At 43.7% G+C, this 24,328-nt stretch overlaps 1 pseudogene; it reads left to right on the top strand.

The window, feature by feature from the left end:
• RPS4XP2 (ribosomal protein S4X pseudogene 2) lies at window positions 17,543-18,342 on the top strand (annotated as a pseudogene).

Below are 24,328 nucleotides of genomic sequence, written 5' to 3'. Positions count from 1 at the left end.
CTGTATACACAGGTTTTGCTTCCCCCAAATATTGTATTTTTTATCCACATTTGGTTGAAAAAAATCTGCGTATAAGTGGACCCACACAGTTCAAAGCCATATTTTTCAAGGGTCAATTGTATTATAGTTTTAAACTCCTTATCAGATATGGTTTGCAAATATTTTTTCTTATCCCATAGGTTGTCTTTTCACCCAGTTATTTCCTTTGCTTTGCAAAAGCTTTTTAGTTTGATATAGTCCCAATTATCTATTTTTGCTTTTGTTGCCTGCACCTTTGATGTCATAACCAATAAATCATTGCCAGAACTATATCATAAAGCTTTTTCTATATGTTTTATTCTAGAAATTTTAAAATTTCAGGTATTTAATTCATTTTAGCTGATTTTGTGTGTGGTGTAAGATAAGGGTCCAGTTTCTTTTTTTTTTTGCACAAGGATATCTGGTTTTCACAATACCATTTGTTGAACTGACTATTCTTTCTCTACTGTGTATTCTTGGCACCCTGTCAAAGATCAGTTGACCATATATGCCTGCATTTATTTCTGGGTTCTCTATTCTGTTTTATTGATCTATATGTCTGTCTTTATGCCAGTACCATACTGTTTTAATTACTGTAGCTTTGCAATGTATTTTGAAACCAGGAGGTTGTGATGTCTCTAGCTCTTTTCTTTTTGCTCAAGATTGTACTGGCTATTTGGGGTTCTTTGTGGTTCCATACCAATTTCAGGATTTTTTTTTCTTCAACTATAAAAAATGCCATTGGGATTTTGAAAGAAATTGCATTGAATCTGTAGATCATTTGTGTACTGTGGGAATCTCAACAATACTAATTCTTTCACTTTATAAACACAGAATGTCTTTTCATCTATTTGTGTCTTCATTAATTTATTTCATCAGTGTATTGCAATAGTCAGTGTACAAGTCTTTCACCTCTTTTGTTAAGGTTATTCATAAGTAATTTATCTTTTTGATGCTACTATAAATGGGATTTTTTTTGGTTTCCTTTTCAGGTAGTTTATTGTTAGTGTACAGAAATACAATTGATTTTTACATGTTGATTTTATACCCTGCAACTTTACTGAATTGGTTTATTCTAAGAGTTTTTTTCATGGACGCATTAGAGTTTTCTATATATAAGATCATGTTGCCAGGTGTGGTGGCTCATGCCTGTAATCCCAGCACTTTGGGAGGCCAAGGTGGGCGAATCATCTGAAGTCAGGAGTTCAAGACCAGACTGGCCAACTCGGCCAAACCCTGTCTCTACTAGAAATACAAAAATTATCTGAGCTTCGTGGCATGCACCTGTAATCCCAGCTACTCAGGAGGCTGAGGCAGCAGAACCGCTTGAACCTGGGAGGCAGACGTTGCAATGAGCCGAGATTACACCACTGCACTCCAGCCTGGATGACAGAGCAAGACTCTATCTGAAGAAAAAAAAAAGTCATATTATTTTCAGAGATAGTTTTGGGTGCCTTTTGTTTCTTTTTCTTGACTAAGTAATTGCTCTGGCTCATCAAAAAATCATAAGTTGAGCCATCATAATCAAAGACTGTCTGCAGTGTTTCCAGCAATAAATGCATTTTTGACTGGTGATATTTTCAACTTCTGATGGATTTATCAGGATGTAACCCCATCATAACTCAATGAGCATCTATAGAATATGTCTTAGTGTGGATTGACTGCTTTCTTTGCTTATCTGTAAGAAGTAACTCCTCATCTATTCAAGTTTGATCATGAGGTTGCAGCAATTTAGTCACATTTTCAGGCTACACTTCTTCTTTTTTTTTTTTTTCTTTTTTTGAGATGGGGTCTCATTCTGTTGCCAGGCTGGAGTGCAGTGGCATGATCTCGGTTCACTGCAACCACCACCTCCTGGGTTCACGTGATTCTCCCGCCTCAGGCTCCTGCATAGCTGGGATTACAGGCATGCACAACCACGTGTGTATTTAAAAGGGAAACCAGAGCATAAAAATTTGGAAAATTTGCAGCCTGGCCGTGTGGTAGAAAAGAAAAGCCCATTTTTTTCAGGGAAGGAATTCAAGCAGGCTGCAGAAATTTGCATAAGTAAAGAGGATCCAAGTGCTAATATCCAAGACAATTTAAAAAAGTCCTCCAAGGCATTTCAGAGAACTTTGTGCAGCTGCTCCCATCACAGGCCCAGAGGTCTAGAAGGGAAAAATGGTTTTGTGAGCCAAGCCTGGGCCCTGCCACCCCTTGCAGCCTTGGGACACTGCTCCCTGTGTCCCAATTGCCCCACCTCTAACCATGGCTTAAAGTGGCCCAGGTACAGCTTGGGCTGCTGCTTCAGAGAGTGCAAGCCATAAGTCTTGGCACCTTCCATGTGGTGTTAAGCCTGTGGGTGCTCAGAGTGCAAGAGTTGAGGCTTGGGAGCCTCCACCTAGACTTCAGAGGATGTATGGAAAAACCTGGATGTCCAAGCAGAAGCCTGCTGCAGGGGTGGAGCCCTCATGGATAACATCTGCTAGGGCAGTGCAGAGGGGAAATGTGGGGTTGGAGCTTCCACACAAAGTCCCCACTGGGGCACTGCCTAGTGGAGCTGTGAGAAGAGGGCCACTATCCTCTAGACCCCAGAATGGTAGATCCAATCTTAGCTTACACCCTGAACCTGAAAAAGCCACAGGCATGCAACGCCAGCCCATGAGAGCAGTCGCAGGAGCTGACCCCTAGAAATCCAGAGGGGTGGAGCTTCCCAAGGCCTTGAGAACCCACCCCTTGCATCAGAGTGCTCTGGACATGAGACATGGAGTAAAAGGAGATTATTTTGGAGCTTTAAGATTTTATGACTGCCCTGCTGGGTTTTGGGCTTGTATGGGGGCTTTGGGCCATTTTCTTTTATTTGGAATGGCTGTATTCACCCAATGCCTGTAACCTCATTGCATCTAGGAAGTAACTAACTTGCTTCGATTTTACAAGCTCATAGGCAGAAGGGAGTTGCCTTGTCTCGGATGAGACTTTGGACTGTGGACTTTTGAGTTAATGCTGAAATGAGTTAAGATTTGGGGGGACTGTTGGGAAGGCATGATTAGTTTTGAAATGTGAGGGCATGAGATTTGGGAGGGGTCAGGAGTGAACAATATGGTTTGGCTGTGTCCCAACCCAAATCTCATCTTGAATTCCCACATGTTGTGGGAGGGACCTGGTGGGAGGTAATTGAATCATGGGGGCAAGTCTTTTGGAATGGAGTATTTACCCAGTGCCTATATCACCACTGTATCTTGGAAGTAACTAACTTGTTTTTATTTTACAGGCTTATAGGTGGAAGAGGCTAGCCTTGTCTCAGATGAGACTTTGGACTATGGACTTTTGAGTTAATGCTGGAATGAGTTAAGACTTTAGGGGACTGTTGAGAAGAGATGATTGTGTTTTGAAATGTGAAAAGGACATGAGACTTGGGAGGGGCCAGGGGCAGAATGATACAGTTTGAATCTGTGTCCCCACCCAAATTTCATATTGAAATATAATCCCCAAATGCTGGAGGTGAGGCCTGATGGGAGGTGGGGACTCATGGGAGGTGATTGAATCATGGGGATGGTTTCTAATGGTTTAGCACCATCCCCCTAGTACTGTCCTCATGATAGAGTTCTCATGAGATCTGGTTGTTTAAAAGCATGTGGCACCTCCCCACTTTCTCTCTTCCTCCTACTCCAGCCATATGAACTGCCTCACTCCCCCTTTGCCTTCCACCATGATTGGAAGCTTCCTGAGTCCTCCTGAAGAAGCAGAAGCCACTATGCTTCCTGTACAGCCTTTAGAATCATAAGCCAATTAAATCTCTTTATAAACTACCCAGTCTCAGGTATTTCTTTACAGCAATGTGGGAAAGGACAGATATACACTCAAAGTCATCCATGAGGGTTGGAATCAAATCCTACCAAACTCCAGTTAATGTTGCTATTTTGATTTTCTCCCATAAATCACAAATCTTCTTAATGGCATCTAGAATGGTGAATTCTTTCCAGAAGATTTTCTATTTAGTTCGCACAGATCCATTAGAGGAATCAATATCTATGGCAGCTATAGTCTTACAAAATATGTTTCTTAAATAATAAGTCTTGAAAGTTGAAATTGCTCCTTGATCCATGGGCTGAAGAATGAATGTTGTGTTAGCAGGATGAAAACAACATTACTTTCTTTGTACATCTGTATCAGAGCTCTTGGTTGACCAGGAACATTGCCACTGAGGAGTAATACTTAAAACAATCTCTTTTTCTGAATAGTACGTCTCAACTGTGGGCTTAAATATTCAGTAAACCATGCTGTAAACAGACGTGCTGTCATCCAGTCTTTGCTGTTCCATTTTTAGAGCACAGGCAGAGTAGATTTGGCATAATTCTTAAGGGCTCTAGGAGTTTCAGAATAGTAAATAAGCATTGCTTTCAACTTATAGTCGCTAGCTGCATTAGTCCATAACAAGAGTCCAGCCCATCCTTTGAAACTTTGAAGCCAGGCATTGGCTTTCTCCTCTTTAGCTGTTAAAGTCCTAGATGGTATCTTCTTCCAATAGAAAGCTTTTTCATCTACATTGAAAATCTGTTGTTTAGTGTAGCCATCTTCATCAATTATCTTAATTATCTTCTGGATAACTTGAGGCAGCTTCTACATCAACACTTACTGTTTCACCTTGCACTTTTATGTTACAGAGACAGTTTTCCTACTTAAACCTCATTAACCAACCTCTGTTAGCTTCCAACTTTTCTTCTGCAACTTCCTTACCTCTCTGAACCTGCAAAGAATTCAAGAGAGTTTGGATTTTGCTCTAGATTAGGCTGTGGCTTAAGGGAATGTTTTTCCTGCTTTGATCTTCTATCTGGACCACTCAAACGTTCACCATATCAGCAATAAGGCTGCTTTGCTTTATTATCATTTATATATTTACCGGAGTAGCACTTTTAATATGCTTTAAGAACTTTTCCTGTACATTCACAACTTGGCTGACTGTTTGGCACAAGAGGCCTAGCTTTCAGCCTGTCTTGGTTTTTGTCATCCTTTCCTCACTAAGCTTGATCATTTCTAGATTTTGACTTAAAGTGAGAAATGTGGGACTCTTCCTTTCACTTGGACATTTAGAGGCCATTGTAGGATTATTAATTGGCCTAATTTCAATATTGTTGTGTCTCAGGGAGTAGGGACGCCCCAGTAGAGGGAGATAGATGGGAGAATGGCTGGTCAGTGGAGCAGTCAGAACACACACAATATTTATCAATTAAACTTGCCATCTTATGTGGGTATGGTTTGTGGTACCCCAAAACAATTACAACAGTAACATCAAAGATTATCACTCACAGATCACCATGAAAAACATAAGAATAATGACAATGTTTGAAATAGTGTAAGAATTACCAAAATGTGACACAGAGACATTATGTGAGCACATGCTGTTGGGAAAATGGCATTGCTAGACTTGCTTAATGCAGAGTCTTTTTTTTTTTTTCAATTTGTAAACAAACGAACAAACAAAAAACACACACAGTGTCTGCAAAATGCAATAAAGTGCAATAAAATGAGGCGTGCTTGAATCTCCATCGTATTGAGACTGTTTCCGGAGATTTATCCTGTTGCTTTGTTCCGAATATATTTCCCTGTTTCTTCATTTTCCTTGAGTTTTTGTGTCAGTATCTATGCATTAGAAAATGCAGCCACCTTTCCCTACCTTCACGACTGAACTTATGCAGGAGGAAATCCTCATCAGTCAGTCTGCCCAGAGATTTTGGGGGCCTCTCAAACCTTTGTGCTTTGTTCTTAGAGGCCCCCAAAGCATCTTGATTTTACTAGGTCTCATCAGTGCTCTAAGACAGAAGAGACAGAAATCTATCCCTTGAGCAGCCCCTGGAAAAGTTGGAAGGCTGGGTACCTGCTTCAACTCTTCTCCTAGGGAGAAGCTGGGAACAGATGGTTTCCTTCTGATGGTATGGTGATGTGTTGGGGTAGGGATTACAATGAGAGTGTGTTTTGAATTTTCCTACTGGCTTCAATGCGGCTGGTTTCATGTTCATGCAGGGCGCAGGAGCTTCTCAATGAGTTTCTGAATTCCTCGAAAAGGGAATTTGTCCATGCACCGTTGTTGAGCTGTGTCCACTGGGAGAAGGAGAGTCCAGGGCTTCCTACTTGGCCATCTTGCTGATGTTATCCTTCCCATTATGTCTACATAGTCAATGATAAAAATGCATTATTTTTATAGACAGGTAAATTGCTATTTTCTGAAAGCAGTGACTAATGAGAGATAAATGAAATTCTAAAATGAGATTATTGTGTTATGAACTAATAAGGTTATAGAAAGTAGGCTGCAGAATGGAAAGAATCTAGATTGTCAGTTTTCTCCAGTTCACAGGTAGCTCATTGTTGCTTCTGTGGAACTACGGAGGAGGCAGAAGAGGCATGAGTAAAGGCTGATGCCCCAGATAGGACAACCCTGTTCACTCTTTCTGCCAACATAGATGCTCTCTTTTGCTTCTAGACCAGCAAACCATCACATAATGTGTTCTGGGCCTCTTGAAGTCTGGTCTTGAATGTGGTCACTGACAACACTAAACCTTACCTAAGAGTACCCTGTAACTCTTGGAAAAGAGTGAGGGTTAAGAAATCCCCCTACTTTTGTGTTCTGGGAAACAAAAGGCATGTACTGCGAAGATGAACCCCCCCCCCTTCCACATATAACATAGATAAGAGTCATGGATGCCCCTTAGTTCAACAGTTCTCAACCTTTTTGGCACCAGGGACCAGTTTCATGGAAGAAAACTTTTCCACAGATGGGTGGGGGCAGTGGTTTCCAGATGAAACTGCTCTACCTCAGGTCATCAGGCATTAGTTAGATTCTCATAAGGAGTGTGCAACCTAGATCCCTCCCATGCACAGTTCACAATAGGGCTCGTGGTCCTGTGAGAAGTTAAAGTCCTGACAGGAGGTGGAGCTCGGTGGTAGTGCTGGCTGGCCCGCTGCTCACCTCCTGCTGTGGGGCCCGGTTCCTAACAGGCCACAGACTGGTACTGGTCCGTGGCCCAGGGGCTTGGGACCCCTGCCCTTGTTTACCTAGAAAAAGCCAGATACGAACCTGCCAAATTCCTGTTCTTTACCTCATAAATGATTGGCTGAGCAGCAGGTCCCTATTGATCAAACAAAACAAAACCCTTCTTAATCAAAATCTCCTTTCCCCAGGGCCCTGAACTTGGCCCACTCTCAGCCTGGGCCAGAACAAGCTCTTCCTCAGCAGCCCCTCCTGAGCCTAGGCCCACCTGGGGTGCAACCTTCTCTGATCTACTCTCTTTTTTCTTTTCTTTCTTTTCCTTTTTTTTTTTTTTTTTTTTTGAGATGGAGTCTCACTGTGTCGTCCAGGCTGGAGTGCAGTGGCATGATCTTGGCTCACTGCAGCCTCCACCTCCCGGATTCAAGCGATTCTCCTGCCTCAGCCTCTGAAGTAGCTGGGATTACAGAGGCCCATCACCATGGCCGGCTAATTTTTTTGTATTCTTAGTAGAGACAGGGTTTCACCATGTTGGTCAGGCTAGTCTCAAACTCCTGGCCTCAAGTGATCTGCCTGCCTTGGCCTCCCAAACTGCTGGGATTATAAGCGTGAGCCACCCACCGTGCCCGGCTGCTGATCTGTTTTCTGATCATGACACTTCCATTTACCCCACTTTCTAGCCTCATTTTCTCTTCCCTATAAAAGAAAACCCCTTTTTGCTTAACTCTTGAGACATTTGCAGATCTTATGGTTAGAGAGTTCTTCCTATTGTAATAGCCAGTTTCCTTCACCTTTACAATAATCTTTTTTGTTTTTGTATGAGACAGGGTCTTACTCTGTTGCCTAGGCTGGAGTGCAGTGGTCTGATCATAGCTCACTGCACCCTCAAACTCCTAGACTCAAACGATTCTCCCACCTCAGCCTCCCAGAGAGCTAGGACTACAGGTGTGTACCTCCACACCTAGCTAATTTTTGTATTTGTCGTGGAGGCAGAGCTTTGCTGTGTTACCCAGGCTGGTATGATGACCTTTTGGAATCAGGTTTCTCTGTACTACTCCAAGATTTATTTTTGCTTTTGTTTTTGATGCCATATAAGTAAGGGGAAAAAAAAGAAGAAAAAAGTCTTAATCCCACTCTGGGTTAAGGATGGGAGTTAGTATAAACATTCACCCACAAAAAGAAGTTCCTAAACACAACACTTAGTTGAAAATAAGACACCTCAATAGATAGAACCAAAGCAAAAAAATAACCCAGAGTGGAGAGATGTAAAATCTGGAATGAAAAGTGTATGTTGTTTTCTGGGTGAGATGGCTCATGCCTGTAATGCAAGCTACAGGAGAGGCTGAGGCAGGAAGATTGCTTGAGCCCAGGAATTTGAGGCTGCTGTGAGCTATGATTGCATTACTGTACTCTGGCCTGGGTGACAGAGCCAGACCCCAACTCCCTATTTTATTTTATTTATTTTTTGAGACAGGGTCTCACTCTGTTGCTCAGGCTGGGGTGAAATGGTGCGATCTTGGCTCACTGTAGCCTCCACCTCCCGGATTCAAACAATTCTCCTGCCTCAGCCACCAGAGTAGCTGGGAGGCGTGCACCACCATGCCTGGCTAATTTTTGGATTTTTAGTAGAGATGAGGTTTTGCCATGTTGCCCAGGCTGGTCTTGAACTCCTGAGCTTAAGCAATCCACCCACCTTGGACTCCCAAAGTGCTGGGATTACAGACATGAATCACCGCGCCTGGGCAGACCCTGGCTCTCAAAACAAAAAACAAAAACGCATGCTGTGACATGAAGAGAACAGGGCATCATCTGCAAAAATCCAACTCTAAATATCCCTGAGAAAGAAGATTATGAAGCACATGGAATAAAAAGAGGGCCCATTTTATATAAACTTAATGCTGAAAAAAATTCTTTTTTTAATTGCACTTGAACTGTGTATGTAGAGAAAAACGTATTCTAGATTAGCCTTCTTTTTGCAAAATTTGTGTAGGATTTTCTTGGTTTGCCAGTTTTCTTGAAAGAACATCATTTTCTGGTGTGTTTTTTCTTCCAACCCCGCATTTTCAAGCTCATATTGTTCTCGTGAACAAAGCGAGACTCTTTGATCTGGTTTGACACTATGCAGAGCAGAATTTCAGCTATCTGAGAAACACAAACTTCAAACCTGTAGGAGGATTATTAAAAGGCATAAAACTTTACAACCATTAAGCAAAAACAGGCTAGTAGTTATACTTATTAAGGATAATTATAGCATTTAAGTTTAATGACATAAATTGGTCAATGGATAATTTAATCTGGCAGACATCAAAATTACATTTAAATATTAGAGAAAGGAGACAAAACACAAAGAGATGCTTGTTAGATGGGCTCAAAAACTTTTCGAATGCCTTTCTAAAGCTTCGAAATATCTCCTTTAATGTCTTATTTCTTTTCCCACTTAGAGTCAGGTTTATCTGAAATTGTGGCTTTTTGGAAAACTCCGTTTCCACTGAGGTGTGGTAATAGTCGCTTCTGTTATTATTGCAAACTTACTGTGAATATCTCAACTCCATAACCAGTCAAAGATATATATGCCTTCATCTCAGCTCATCATTTGGGAGAAATGAGAGCCACCAAGGCTCATATAAGAACCCACCTGAGGCCAGGCAAGGTGGCTCATGCCTGTAATCCCAGCACTTCAGGAGGCCGAGGCAGGCGGATCACCTGAGGTCAGGTGTTAGAGACCAGTCTGGCCAACATGGCAAAACCCCATCTCTACTAAAAATACAAAAATTAGCTGGGCATGGTGGTGCATGCCTGTAATCACAGCTACCCGGGAGGCTGAGGCAGGAGAATCGTTTGAACCCAGTGGGTGGAGGTTGCAGTGAGCCAAGATTATGCCATTTCACTCCAGCCTGGGCCAAAGAACCCACCTGAATTTGTAAAAGTCTATTGTGGATTTTAAGGGACAAGCTTATTTGTGAGAATTACATAATTTTCTAATCTTGTTAACTTAAAAATGTGGGCTAGATTCTACCTTGGGTTCCCTGATGAGATCTGCATCCATTGTGTTTGTCCCCGAATATTTTTCTTCTCTCTTCCTTTGAGGAATCATATGCCTAACATTAATACTCTTGTTGGGCAGAGCCCTGCTAGCCAATAGCTTCAGAGGATTTTCCAGCTAAGAAGAGCTTAGTGGTGGGGGAAGTGGGAGTGGCTGTGAGGATTTGCTCATTAATCATGCAGAGATGCAGGCTGCATAATGACTGGCAAAGGCGTGGATAAAAGGATGATGCAGGTATTTTTCAAGGACAAGCTTTGGGGTTAGAGATTCCATTTCTAGAGGCAGGACAGACTCAGGAAGCCCAGGGCTCCAGGAAATGTTGGTGTGAGGTAAGGGTTGTGGCTGCTCCACCTACCTCTAGCCCCAGATCTGCTGGCCCCAACTTTGTGCTGAGAGGGCTGTGAATCACTACACGCCCCCACCCCCCCACCCCCCCACAAGCTCCTATCCACTAAGGTTACACCATTAAAGCAGCTTTACTCCTGGAGGTTTCAGTAATTAATCTGTCAGTGTGTCACCATGGCAACATATTTGTATATCTCAAATGCCATGAGCTCCAGCCAGGATTTGAAAAACTGCTTTACCTAGTGCCCTAGCTAGTGATTAGCAAAGGATTATGTTGTAGAACACAGGGCATGCTGGTTGGCTCCAAGGCAAAGGAGGCTTAGGGAACTAATGTTCATTTTTCCTCCTTTAGAAGCGGCTGAGATTCCATTAAGGGATTGGGGACCAGCAGACCCCTTCTGGCTTCATGGGACACATCATGACCTCCTAGGGGCACTAAAAGAGAAATCCTCTGCTGTCCTCCACTCTGCTCTCCTCTCTTCCACTCCTTCTTTCTCTTCTCCCATTTATTAATTCAATAATTCCAAGGAAGGATAAAAGATGCGAGATTTGACTCATTCACCTCAATTCTTAGGCACATGCGCTGGTACAAGACTTTTCTCTCATTTTGTTTCGTTTAATTTCTCCCTCTCATCCCTGATGCCACATATATTTTCTTCCCCATTATAAGTGTTTTTTACTGGACTTCCTAGAAGCAGAACCTGGGACATAGTTTCTTTTTCCTTCCTTCCTTCCTTCCTCTCTCCCTCCCTTCTTTTCTCTTCTCTTCTCTTCTTTCTCTCTTGCTTTCTTGATTCTCTCTCTCTGTGTCTCTCTTCTCTCTCTTTCTTTTAATAAAGAGTCTCACTCTGTTGCAGGCTGACGTACAGTGGCATGATCATGGTTCACTGCAGCTTTGACCTTCTGGGCTTAAGTGATCCCCCACCTCAACCTCCCAAGTAGCTGGGACTACAAGCATGTGCCACTATGCCCACCTAATTTTTAAAATTTTTTTTGTAGAGACAGGGGTCTCACTATGTTGCCTAGGCTGGTCTCCAACTCTTGGGCTCAAACGATCCACTCAAATGATCTCAGCCTCCCAAATTGCTGGGATTACAGGCACGAGCCACCATGCCCCACTTCAGAGTTTCTTGTTCAAGTGGCTTACGGTGGGAGAACTCTCAAGAAATACTGGTTATGGGAGCACGAGAGGGAGAGAAGTGGGCTTAGGCATGTCTAGCGTCAGCCTACTGATAGGGAACCCTGGAGCATGAACAGCACTGCAGGGCTGCCTTCCCCTTCCCTGTCCTGCTGACCCTACCGGGAGGCAAGGGGCAGGCCTGCCATCCATGGCGCTGAGGGTTGCCAGCCAGGCAGCTCTCCTCTGCTGAGGGCAGCTCCCCAAAGAAGCAGGGCAGCTGTGAGACATTTGAAGCCGATACACACAGCAGCTGGGAGGATGCGGACTCCAGAACAGTGAAAGAGATTGGGTGGGTCACCAACAGCTACAACAGGCAATCAGGCTTTTGTATTTAATAAGCATCTGTGTGTCTGTGTGTTTATCTGTTACTGCAGAATACTTAGTACTCATTCAAAAAAATTTATTGAACCCCTACTCTGTGCCTATTTCTATTCTGAAAGCTAGGGGGTTATAGTCATGGTGAAAACAGACAGGATCACCCCTGCCCTTAGGTTGTTGTTAAGTGGAAGAAATAGATATTAAACAATGATTCACACAAATGAACATTTCAGAATGCAAAATGTAATACATGCTGAGAGGGAGAAGCTGAGGTGTGACAAGAGATCACAATGGAAGGTGAGATGCATGCTGGGGTGGAGGGAAGGCCTCCCTGGGGATGGGTATTTATGGCACTGACCTAGAGAGGAGTTGGTGTGAGCTGGCCAGAGAATGGGAGGGAGGCTGCTCCAAGCAGAGGGAGCAGAGGGAGCACCGTCCTGACCAGGAGAAAGGGCTCTGTGAGTTCAGGGAATTGAAAGGAGGTCAGTGTGGCTGGACACAGTGACAAAGGGGTAAGGACATGAGAACAGCAAGAAAGGGGGCCCATGGCAGCAGATGCCAGGCCTCGGAGGTCATGTTCAGGACTTAGAGCTCTCAGTGAAAGCCAGTGGAAATCCACTGAAGACTTCGGGCAAGAAAGAGACATGATGACCATGGGTGGCTCAAGGGCTGTGTGGGGTTTGGAGAAGGCAGGAGTGGAAGCTGGGAGGCTTGTGGAGGTCGAGGGAGAGATGCCGGTGCTCTGGACATGAGTAGTGACAGTGGATGTAAGGAGAAGCCGCTGGCAGAGGAGATTTCAGAGGGAGCAGGTGCAGGGGTTGCTGAGGGTTTGGGTGCAGGGGTGAGGGAAGGTAGGAGTGTAGGTTCACACTCACGTGGAGAGAAGTGCCATTTTCCAGTGGAAGATGCGAGGCAGGCAGTCGGCAGGATGCGTTCAGAGCTCAGGGGATTGGCTGCACTGGAAATTTAAGCCCAGTGGTTGTCAGCACATTGGTGACACTTGGAACCCAGGGATAAAGTACTGCTAAGGAGCAAAAGAAAAGAGAGAGAGAGCAGGACTGAAGCTCATGCGCAGAGAGGAAACCAGCCATGCATCTGAAGAAGAAACCAGAGAGGCAGGAAGAACACAAAACATGGCAGCAACGAACGCAGCAGAGGAAGTTTCAAGGAGGAGGGTAATGAGTCCTGGGGTATGTACACTGTCGGGTGCCAATCAGATGGTCTGTGGACAGGGCCGCAGCAGGGTGCGGTGGAACACGAGAGCTGCAGCCTGCTTTCCACAGGTGCAGCTCTGCTGGGTGAGGAGGGAATGCAGGCTGGATGCAGGGCACTCTTAAGTAAGTTTAGTTATTTGGGGAGGAGGGGAAGGGGCCGCTTCCAGAATGGGAATCAAGATCAGTTTTGTTTTTTTAAGATGGGGGAGATGTTTGAATGCTGGGGAGGAGTTGGTTTATGGGGACAGTTGATGGCACAGGAAAGAGAGGGGTTAATTGCTAGAGAAAAGTCGCTACAGAGGTGGGAGCAGGTGGGAACAGACCACCATTCCCATTATCTGGCCAAAGGGTATGCTGAGCCCATGCACAATGGGGTTCCAGCCTAGAGAGATGACAGCAGAGGAGGGATGGGAACATCTAAGTGGTGAAACTGTCCCTATAGACTTTATAAAATTAATCAGGAAAGAAGGAAGGGGGAGAAATGAAGATAAACCAAGCTTGCAGCACACTCAGCATTGACCATGAGGTCCGCTTGCTCTCTGATCCACTTCCTCACAGCTGTCTGGGGCCTATCGACTCAGGATTACATGAACCCTGTTACGAGATGATCCTTCCCCTTAGCTGCTCTATAGATAACAACTTCAACATTATAAAACATTAACTTTTCCATTTGAGATACTCTTTCAGTTTCTGCATACCAATGAAACTACTGATGCCAGCTGGTCTTAAGGACCTCACAGGAGCTGAGTCACCAAAGAATGCAGTTTCCACATCCTGATGATTTCCTTCCCCTTATCCCAACTAATCAACAACCCCAAATTCTTATCTAGAAATGGACCAAATTCCTTGATATTGACTGGCACTGGCCGAGGCTTCCACATATGGCTCAGTGGATATGTAACAGGATCGTTTGCCCAATGCCTGGCAAGTCAATATAACAAGACAAGGGGGATTGCTGCAGAGAAAAAGTCTAATAATCATAGGAGAGCTAAATGAGGAGGTGGGAAGAAACCTCAAATCCACCAACCTAAGGAATTTGGAGCTACGGATATTAAGGGCTTTGGAAAGGGCTGAGATGTGGGGATTGTTGATTGGTGGAAGAGTGCAGGGTGAAGTCATAGGACAGGGAGATGAAGAAACTGCATTCTCATGCTGATTTGGTTCCTCGTGGGGTCTTCAAACTCATTGGCATCAGCCTTTCCTGATGGAATTCAGGATATGAAGAATATCTTGAGCAATTCTTAAACAAAAGCCTAATGATTCTAACATCAGAAGTCCTATCTATGGGGAAAATGGGATTTAAACAGTCAGTATCTTGAGCTGCATGACTTTCAGTTTAAGGAAGTGGGCCAGAGTGCAGCCTGATTAATGCTTAATTATAACTATATTTCTGCCCCAAACCTGGCATCTAAATTCTTGTTAACCCTATGAGGATGGTTTTATTATTATTATTATTATAAAAGAAAGAGGTTTAATTGTCTCATGGCTCTGCAGGGCTGGGGAGACCTCAGGAAGCTTACGATCATGGTGGATGGGGAAGCAAACATATCCTTCTTCACATGAGGCACGAAGGAGAAGTGCTGAACAAAGGGGGAAAACCCTTACAAGGGATGGTCCTTATAAAACCACTAGATCTTGTGAGAACTCACTTACTATCACAAGAACAGCATGGGAGAAACCACCCCGATGATTCGATTACCTCTCACTGCATCCCTCCCACAACACATGGGGATTATGGGAACTACTATTCAAGATGAGATTTGAGTGGGGACAAAGCCAAACCATATCATTCCACCCCTGGCCCCTCCCAAATCTTATGTCCTCACATTTTAAAACACAATCATGCCTTTCCAACAGTACCCTAAAGTCTTAGCTTTTTCCAGAATTAACCCAAAAGTCCAAATCCAAAGTCTCATCTGAGACAAGGCAAGTTTCTTCCTCCTATGAGCCTGTAAAATCAAAACAAGTTAGTTACATCCTAGATACAATGGGGGTACAGGCACTGGGTAAATATACCCATTCCAAATGAGAGGAATTGGCCAAAACTAAGGGGCTACAGACACCATGCAAATCTGAAATCCAATAGGGCAGTCATTAAACCTTAAAGCTCCCAAATGATCTCCTTTGACTCCATGTCTCACATCCAGGTCACACTGATGCAAGAGGTAAGTTCCCACAGCCTTGGGCAGCTCCACCTCTGTGGCTTTGCAGGGTACTGTCCCCTACTCCTGGCTGTTTTCACAAACTGGCACTGCATTTCTGTGGCTTTTCCAGGTACATGGTGCAAGCTGTTGGTGGATCTACCATTCTGGAGTCTGGATGATGGTGGCTCTCTTCTCACAGCTCCACTAGACAGTGCCCTATTAAGGACTCTGTGTGGAGGCTCTGACCCCACATTTCCCTCCCTCACTACCCTAGCAGAGGTTCTCCATGAGGACTCCACCACTGCAGCAAACTTCTGCCTGAACATCCTGGCATTTCCATACATCCTCTGAAATCTAGGCAGAGGTTCCCAAACCTCAATTCTTGACTTCTGTGTACCTGCAGGCTCAACACTATGTGGAAGCTGCCAAGGCTTGGGCTTACACCCTCTAAAGCTACAGACTGAGCTGTACTCTGGCCCCTTTTAGCCACAGCTGAAGCAGCTGGGATGCAGGGCACCAAGTCCCTATTTTGCACACAGCAGGGGTCCCTGAGCCCAGCCCAGGAAACCATTTCTCCCTCCTAGGCCTCTGGACCTGTGATGGGAGGGGCTGCCATGAAGGTTTTTGACATACCGTGGAGACCTTACCCCATTGTTTTGGAGGTTAAAATTTGGCTCCTCGTTACTTATGCAAATTTCTGCAGCAGGCTTAAATTTCTCCCCAGAAAATGGGTTTTTCTTTTCTATTCCATGTTCAGGCTGCAAATTTTCCAAATTTCCATGCTCTGCTTCCTCTTGAATGCTTTGCTGCTTAGAAATTTCTTCCACCAGATACCCGAAATCATCTCTCTCAAGTTTGAAGTTCCACAAATCCCTATGAGGATGGTTTTAGACACTCTTGGGTGATTCGTCTCCCTGCAGGTATAACGCTGAACCATGCTTCTGCAGGCATCTGGTCCCTGGCACAGTCAGTGACTCCAGAGCCAGTACCAGCCCATCAGGGCAACCCTCTTCTCAGGCCCCAGACTCCCCTCCTCCCTACTTCTGGCCACTGAATAATGAAGTCCACCAAATCTTGAGATGACACTGTCAACCCTGCTTTCCCACAGCTCCCTAATTCCATGTCTCCCATAGTCTCCGATTATTTCCAGGGGTGCCTTGAAATGTAAAAGATATTCAAAGCAAAATTTGTTGGCAGTCAACTTTATTCGTACAAGCATTCCATTAAGGCACTTAAAGGGATGGCAGAAAATCAAACAATGGGAGGGACACGCTGCCCTTGAAAAGGAGTTTCTTTGCTGATGCCACCACCGGAAATAGTGCCATTAATTTTATAAAAGAGGTATCATATTCAGAAAGACTCTATCAACCACTGTAAATGCTTTGGAGCCTCTAACAGTTGTGAAATGTGGAAGCCAAGGATGTAGGGGCCTGTTGGAGTGCGCCCATTCCTGGATCTGGGAAGGAGACGCCTTTGAAGCTGTACCTCTCGGATGGCTTTGATCCTCCAAGACCCAGATATAAAGACAAGATGAGGGAGGTGTTATTAGTGTTATTATTTATACTTGGTGGAGCTTACATGTGGGACCTCCTTTATAAAGTGCTTTGGGCACTACTGATTTATAAGTAATTTCACTTCTCACAGCATCACTTCTGGGTGGAGGAAGAATGCCAGAGGCAGCTCTGGAAATAATCACTTTTCTCCAAGATAGAGTACTCATTAATCCAGGCCTAGTGGGAACATCTATTCCCTTTATTGTATCCTTTTACTGGAAATTATTTCTTTAGTAGAAGGTCATGTGCCTCAGTGACCTGGAATGGGGGTTCTCCAGTAATTTCTATCATTCTCCCCTGTTGAAAGCTTATGTATTGAGAACATCTGGGTAAGAGTCACAGGCAGCTTGGAAAAGAGGGCAGTGATTAGGGATTTCTAGTTTTATTATTTTTTTTTAGCATTTGTTGAGATTGGTTTAAAATCCAGGACATGGTTAATCTTGGTGAATGCTCCCTAGGCACTTGAAAAGCACATGTATTCTGCTGTTATAGGGTTGTTTGTTCTGTTAGATCCTGTTGGTTGAAGGTGTTGTTCAATTCTTCTATATCCTCATTATTTTCTTTTTTATTTTTTTAGAGACAGGGTCTATCTCTGTTGTCCAGGCTGGAGTGCAGTGGTGCAGTCATAGCTCACTACAGCCTCAAACTCCTGGGTTCAAGTAATCCTCCTGCCTCAGCCTCCTGAGTAGTTAGGACTACAGGCTTGTGCCACTATGCCTGGCTAATTTTTAAAATTGTTATTTTTTCTTTTTCTGTGCCTAACGTAGCCATGGCTCGTGGTCCCAAGAAGCATCTAAAGCAGGTAGCAGCTCCAAAGCATTGGATGCTGGATAAATTGACTGGTGTGTTTGCTCCTCATCCATCCACCAGTCCCCACAAGTTGAGAGAGTGTCTCCCCCTCATCATTTTCATAAGGAACAGACTTAAGTATGCCCTGACAGGAGAGGAAGTAAAGAAGATTTGCATGCAGCGGTTCATTAAGATCGATGGCAAGGTCCGCACTGATATAACCTACCCTGCTGGATTCATGGATGTCATCAGCATTGACAAGATGGGAGAGAATTTCTGTCTGATCTGTGACACCAAGGGTCACTTTGCTGTACATCGTATTACACCTGAGGAGGCCAAGTACAAGTTGTGAAAAGTGAGAAAAAATATTTGTGCGCACAAAAGGAATCCCTCATCTGGTGACTCATGATGCTCGTACCATCTGCTACCCTGATCCCCTCATCAAGGTGAATGACACCATTCAGATTGATTTGGAGACTGGCAAGATTACTGACTTCATCAGGTTCGACACTGGTAACCTGTGTATGGTGACTGGAGGTGCCAACCTGGGAAGAATTGGTGTGATCACCAACAGAGAGAGGCACCCTGGATCTCTTGACGTGGTTCACATGAAAGATGCCAATGGCAACAGCTTTGCCACTTGACTTTCCAACATTTTTGTTGTTTGCAAGGGCAACATACCATGGATTTCTCTTCCCCAAGGAAAAGGTATCTGCCTCACCATTGCTGAAGAGAGAGACAAGAGATTGGCAACCAATCAAAGCAGTGGGTAAAATGGTCCCTGGATGGCATGTTAGATCTTTGTATGTAATTAAAAATAATGTGGCATGATTGATAGCCAAAAATAAAATAATTATTATTATTTTGTAAAGACAGGGTCTCATTAAGTTTCCCAGGCTGGTCTCAAACTTCAGGCCTCAGGTAATTCTCCTGCCTTGGCCTCCCAAAGTGCTGGGATTACAGGCATGAGCTATCACGCCTGGCTCCTTGTGGATTTTCTATCTAGTAGTTCTATCAATTACTGAGAAAAGAGTGTTGAAGTCTCCAACTATAATAGTAGATTTGTCAATTTCTTCCTTTGGCTTTATCAGTTTTTGCTTCATGTATTTGAAAGATCTGTTTTTGGTGCATACACACTTAGGTTTGCTATCTCTTGTTGGTAGATTGATCTTGATCTTTTATCATCATGTAAAATTCCTCTCCGTGTCTGGTAATTTCTTTGCTCTGAAGTCTACCTTGATATTCATATAGCCACTCTTCCTTTTTAAAATTTAATACTTATGTGATATATCTTTTTCTATGCTTTTACTTTTTACTTAGCTATATCATTATGTTTGAATTGAGTTTTTTATAGACAGCATAACATTGGGTAATGTTTTTAAATCTACTCAGCTAATCTTGTCTCATTTTTAATTTAAAAATTTTTTACACATAATAATTGTATGTATTTATGGAGTACAATGTGATGTTTTGATACATAAATATATTGTGTGATGATCAAATCAGGGTAATTAGCATATCTATCACCTCATTTATTATTTATTTGTTACAGGCACATACAAAATCCTCTTTTCTAGCTATTTTGAGATACTCTACTGTGCAATAGGACATCAGAACTTATTCTTCCTTTCTAATTATAACTTTGTACCCATTGCAATCCTGTCTCTTAATTAATGTATTTAGTCCGTTTACATTTAAAGTGATTATTGACCTGTTAGAGTTTAATTTGTTTACCATTTGTTCCCTGTTTCTTGTTACCTGGTTATCTTCCTTCTGCCTTCTCGTGGGTTACTTGAATGTTTTTTAGAGTTCCACTTTGATTTATTTATATATATTTTTAGTATACCATTTTGTATAGTTTTTGTAGTGGTCGTTCTAGCTACTATTCTATTCATATGTAAATTATCACAGCTTACTGGTGTCAATGTCTTACCATTTCCATTGAAGGGTAGAAAGCTTACTTCCTTTTAATTCCTTTATCCTCCACACCTACAAAAATATAATTGTCCTAGGTATAACCTCTACATACATATCAGAAAATGTATAACTTTTGCTTCAACCATAAATACGATCAAAGAAACTAATGAATGGATGTTGAATATTTACTTCTATTTTTACTGAAATGGAATAATAAAAGGCTGAAAATCCCAGCCTTTTATTATCATTGTCTTTCTGTTTTGAGGGATTTTGTTAGCAATTCTTTAAAGGTAGGTCTGCTATCAACAACTTCTCTTAGTTTCTCTATGCCTGAGACTGTCTTTTTTCCCCTTACATTCCTGAAGAATAGTTTCACCATCTATATAAGATTTATGATTGGGAGGTCTTTCTTGCAGCATTTGGAAGATATGTCACTTCCTTCTGGACTCCACGGTTTCTGATGAGGAACCTGTTCTTCACATTGGGGTTCCTTTACAGGCCATGTTTTGCTTCTCTCCAGCTGTGACCTTTGTCTTCAGTGTTCAGAAATTTAATTATGATATGTCTTGGTGTAGGTTATGCTAGGTGGATTTTATTTGAAGTATGCTGAGCTGCTTGGATCTGCAATTTTATGTTTTTTGACACCTTTGGAAAATTTTCTTCTTCTTTCTTTCTTTTCTTTTTTTTCTTTCTTTTTTTTTTTTTTTGAGAGGGAATCTCACTCTGTCGCCCAGGCTGGAGTGCAGTGGTATGATCTCGGCTCACTGCAACCTCTGCCTCCTGGGTTCAAGCGATTCTCCTGGCTCAGCCTCCCAAGTAGCTGGGACTGCAGGCACATGCCACCATGCCTGGCTAATTTATGTATTTTCAGTAGAGACAGGTTTCACTATGTTGGCCAGGCTGGTCTCAAACTCCTGACCTCAGGTGATCCACCTCCCTCGGCCTCCCAAAGTGCTGGGATTACAGACGTGAGCCACTGTGCCCGGCTGAAAATTTTCTTTTTCTTTTTTTTTTGTTTTTTTTTTTTTTGTCTTTTGAGACAGGGTCTTACTTTGTCACCCAGGCTGGAACGCAGTGGTTTGATCTTGGCTCACTGGAGCCTCGACCTACCAGTTTCAAGCAATCCTTCTGCCTCAGCCCCCCCAAGTAGCTGGGACTACATGCACACACCACCATGCCAGGCGAGTTTTTGTATTTTTTGTAGAGATAAGGTTTTGCCATGTTGCTCAGTCTGGTCTTGAACTCCCGGCCTTAAGTGATCAGCCAGCCCTGGCCTCCCATCGTGCTGGGATTATAGGCGTGAGCCACCGTGCTTGGCCTACAGGAAATTTTCAGCATTATTTCTTTGCATTCTTTATCTCTCCATGTTCTTTCTCCCTTATTTTCTGGACTTTAATGATATGAATGTTGGATCTTTTGTGATTGTCTCAGAGATATCTGAGGCTCTGTTCTTTTTTTTCAGTCTATTTTCTCTTCATTGTTCAGATTGTGTATATGCTACTGACTTACCCTCAAGTTCACAGATTCTATTCCTGTCATCTCTACTCTACTGTTGAACCCATCCAGTGAGTTTTTATTTTGATTGTAGTATTTCTAAGTTCTATAATTGCTGTTTGGTTCTATTTTTTGCTGAGATTCTCTATGTTTTCATTTGTTTCAAGGCGTAATATTATGGAATATATATTTTGATTTTGTCCACAGTTCCTGGCTCATAACTCTTGTAATTTCCTGAGTGACTAGAGCAGTAGGATTGTCTTTTGTTAAAATATTTGACCTTTCGTCCTCGGATCTGAAATAGTTTTAGAATAGCTCCAGAGTTGTAAGGTGAACATGTCTTTTGTTATTTATAACAATCCCCTTTTGACCACACTTGAGTTTGTTAATGAGGTGGTTTTTGGAGAGTCCCTAGATAACCACTGGATGGGTGACTGGTTGCCAGGGGACCCAACCATGTGATTAATGGGTTGGCACTCACAGCCCCATCCTCCACTTCGGGGGACAGGAGAGGGCCTGAAGTTTGAGATGATCACCAGTGGCCAATGATTTAATTATGGCTACATTATGAAACCTCTGTAAAAACTCAAAAGGACAGGGTTTGGAGAGCTTACAGAAGCTGAACACGTGGAGGTTCCTGGTGAGTGGCACGCCAGGAAAGGACGTGGAAGCTACAAGCCCCTTCCACCTGGCTGTCCATCTGGATTCTTTGTAAAATCCTTTATAATAAATGGGGAACTATAAGTAAAGTGTTTACCTGAGTTCTGTGAGCCACCCTAGCAAATTAATCAAACTCCAGATGGAGATCATGGGAATCCGTGACTAAGAGCCAGTTAGTCAGAAGTATAAGTGACAACATACTATTAATACTTGTGACTGGCATGTGAAATGCAGGGGGCAGTCCTATGGGATTGGGCTCTCAGCCTGAAACTGTCCTCACAGGTCTAACAAGAGTTACATGCTGGGTTCTGGAATAGAAATATAGTTATGATTAAAATGTTTCTGGGGTCGTGGGCAAGATGGCCGAAAAGGAACAGCTCCAGTCTGCAGCTCCCAGCGAGATCAACGCAGGTGGGTGATTTCTCCATTTCCAACTGAGGTACCTGGCTCATCTCACTGGGACTGGTTAGACAATGGGTGCAGCCCATGGGGAGTGAGCCCAAGCAAGCTGGGGTGTCGCCTCACCCAGGAAGCACAAGGGGTCAAGGAACTCCCTCCCCTAGCCGAGGGAAGCCGTGAAGGACTGTGCCGTGAGGGATGGTGCCCTCTAGCCCAGATACTACACTTTTCCCATGGTCTTCGCAACCTGCAGACCAGGAGATTCCTCAGGTACCTACACCACCAGGGCCCTGGGTTTCAAGGACAAAACTGGGCAGCTGTTTGGGCAGACACCGAGCTAGCTGCAGGAGCTTTTTTTCATACCCCAGTGGCACCTGGAATGCCAGCAAGAGAGAACCATTCACTCCCCTGGAAAGGGGGCTGAAGCTAGAGAGCCAAGTGGTCTAGATTAGCAGATCCCACCCCCACAGAGCCCAGTAAGCTAAGATCCACTGGCTTGAAATTCTCGCTGCCAGCACAGCAGTCTGAAGTGGACCTGGGACGCTGGAGCTTAGTGGGGGGAGGGGCGTCTGCCATTACTGAGGCTTGAGTAGGGGTTTTCCCCTCACAGTGTAAACAAAGCCACTGGGAAGTTCGAACTGGGCAGAGCCCACTGCAGCTCATCAAAGCTGCTGTAGCCAGACTGCTTTTCTAGATTCCTCCTCTCTGGGCACGGCATCTCTGAAAGAAAGGTAGCAGCCCCAGTCAGGGGCTTATAGACGAAACTCCCATCTCCCTGGGGCAGAGCACCTGGGGGAAGGAGCGGCTGTGGGTGCAGCTTCAGCAGACTTAAATGTTCCTGCCTGCCTGCTCTGAAGACAGCAGCGGATCTCCCAGCACGGCACTTGAGCTCTGCTGAGGGACAGACTGCCTCCTCAAGTGGGTCCCTGACCCCCGTGCCTCCTGACTGGGAGACACCACCCAGCAGGGGTTGACAGACAGCTCATACAGGAGAGCTCCGGCTGGCATCTGGTGAGTGCCCCTCTGGGACAAAGCTTCCAGAGGAAGGAACAGGCAACAATCTTTGCTGTTCTGCAGCCTTTGCTGGTGATACCCAGGCAAACAGGGTCTGGAGTGAACCTCCAGCAAACTCCAGCAGACCTGCAGCAGAGGGGCCTGACTGTTAAAAGGAAAACTAACAAACAGAAAGAAATAGCATCAATATCAACAAAAAGTATGTCCACACAGAAACCCCATCCGAAGGTCACCAACATCAAAGACCAAAGGTAGATAAATCCATGAAGATGAGGAAAATCCAGCGCAAAAAGGCTGAAAATTCCAAAAACCAGAATGCCTCTTCTCCTCCAAAGGATCACAACTCCTCGCCAGCAAGGGAACAAAACTGGACAGAGAAAGAGTTTGACGAATTGACAGAAGTAGGCTTCAGAAGGTGGGTAATAACAAACTCCTCCGAGTTAAAGGAGCATGTTATAACCCAATGCAAGGAAGCTAAGAACCTTGAAAAAAGGCTAGAGGAATTGCTAACTAGAGTAATCAGTTTGGAGAAGAACACAAATGACCTGATGGAGCTGAAAAACATAGCACAAGAACTTCTTGAAGCATACACAAGTATCAATAGCTGAATTGATCAAGCAGAAGAAAGGATATCAGAGATTGAAGATCAACTTAATGGAATAAAGTGTTAAGACAAGATTAGAGAAAAAAGAATGAAAAGGAATGAACAAAACCTCCAAGAAACATGGGACTATGTGCAAAAGACCAAACCTACGTTTGATTGGTGTGCCTGAAAGTGATGGGGAGAATGGAACCAAGTTGGAAAACACTCTTCAGGATATTATCCAGGAGAATTTCCCCAACCTAGCAAGACAGGCCAAGATTCAAATTCAGGAAGTACAGAGAACACCACAAAGATAATCCTCAAGAAGAGCAACCCCAAGACACATAATCGTCAGATTCACCAAAGTTGAAATAAACGAAATAATGTCAAGGGCAGCCAGAGAGAAAGGTCAGGTTACCCCAAAGGGAAGCCCATCAGACTAACAGTGGATCATTCTGCAGAAACCCTACAAGCCAGAAGAGAGTGGGGGCCAATATTCAACATTCTTAAAGAAAACAATTTTCAACCCAGAATTTCATATCCCACCAAACTAAGCTTCATAAGCAAAGGAGAAATAAAATCCTTTACAGACAAGAAATACTGAGAGATTTTGTCACCACCAGGCCTGCCTTACAAGAGCTCCTGAAGGAAGCACTAAGTATGGAAAGGAAAAACCGGTACCAGCCCTTACAAAAA

Source organism: Homo sapiens, chromosome 20 (genome assembly GCF_000001405.40).
Source record: "Homo sapiens chromosome 20, GRCh38.p14 Primary Assembly".
Lineage (NCBI taxonomy): Eukaryota > Metazoa > Chordata > Mammalia > Primates > Hominidae > Homo > Homo sapiens.
This window is presented reverse-complemented; position numbering and strand designations above follow the sequence as displayed.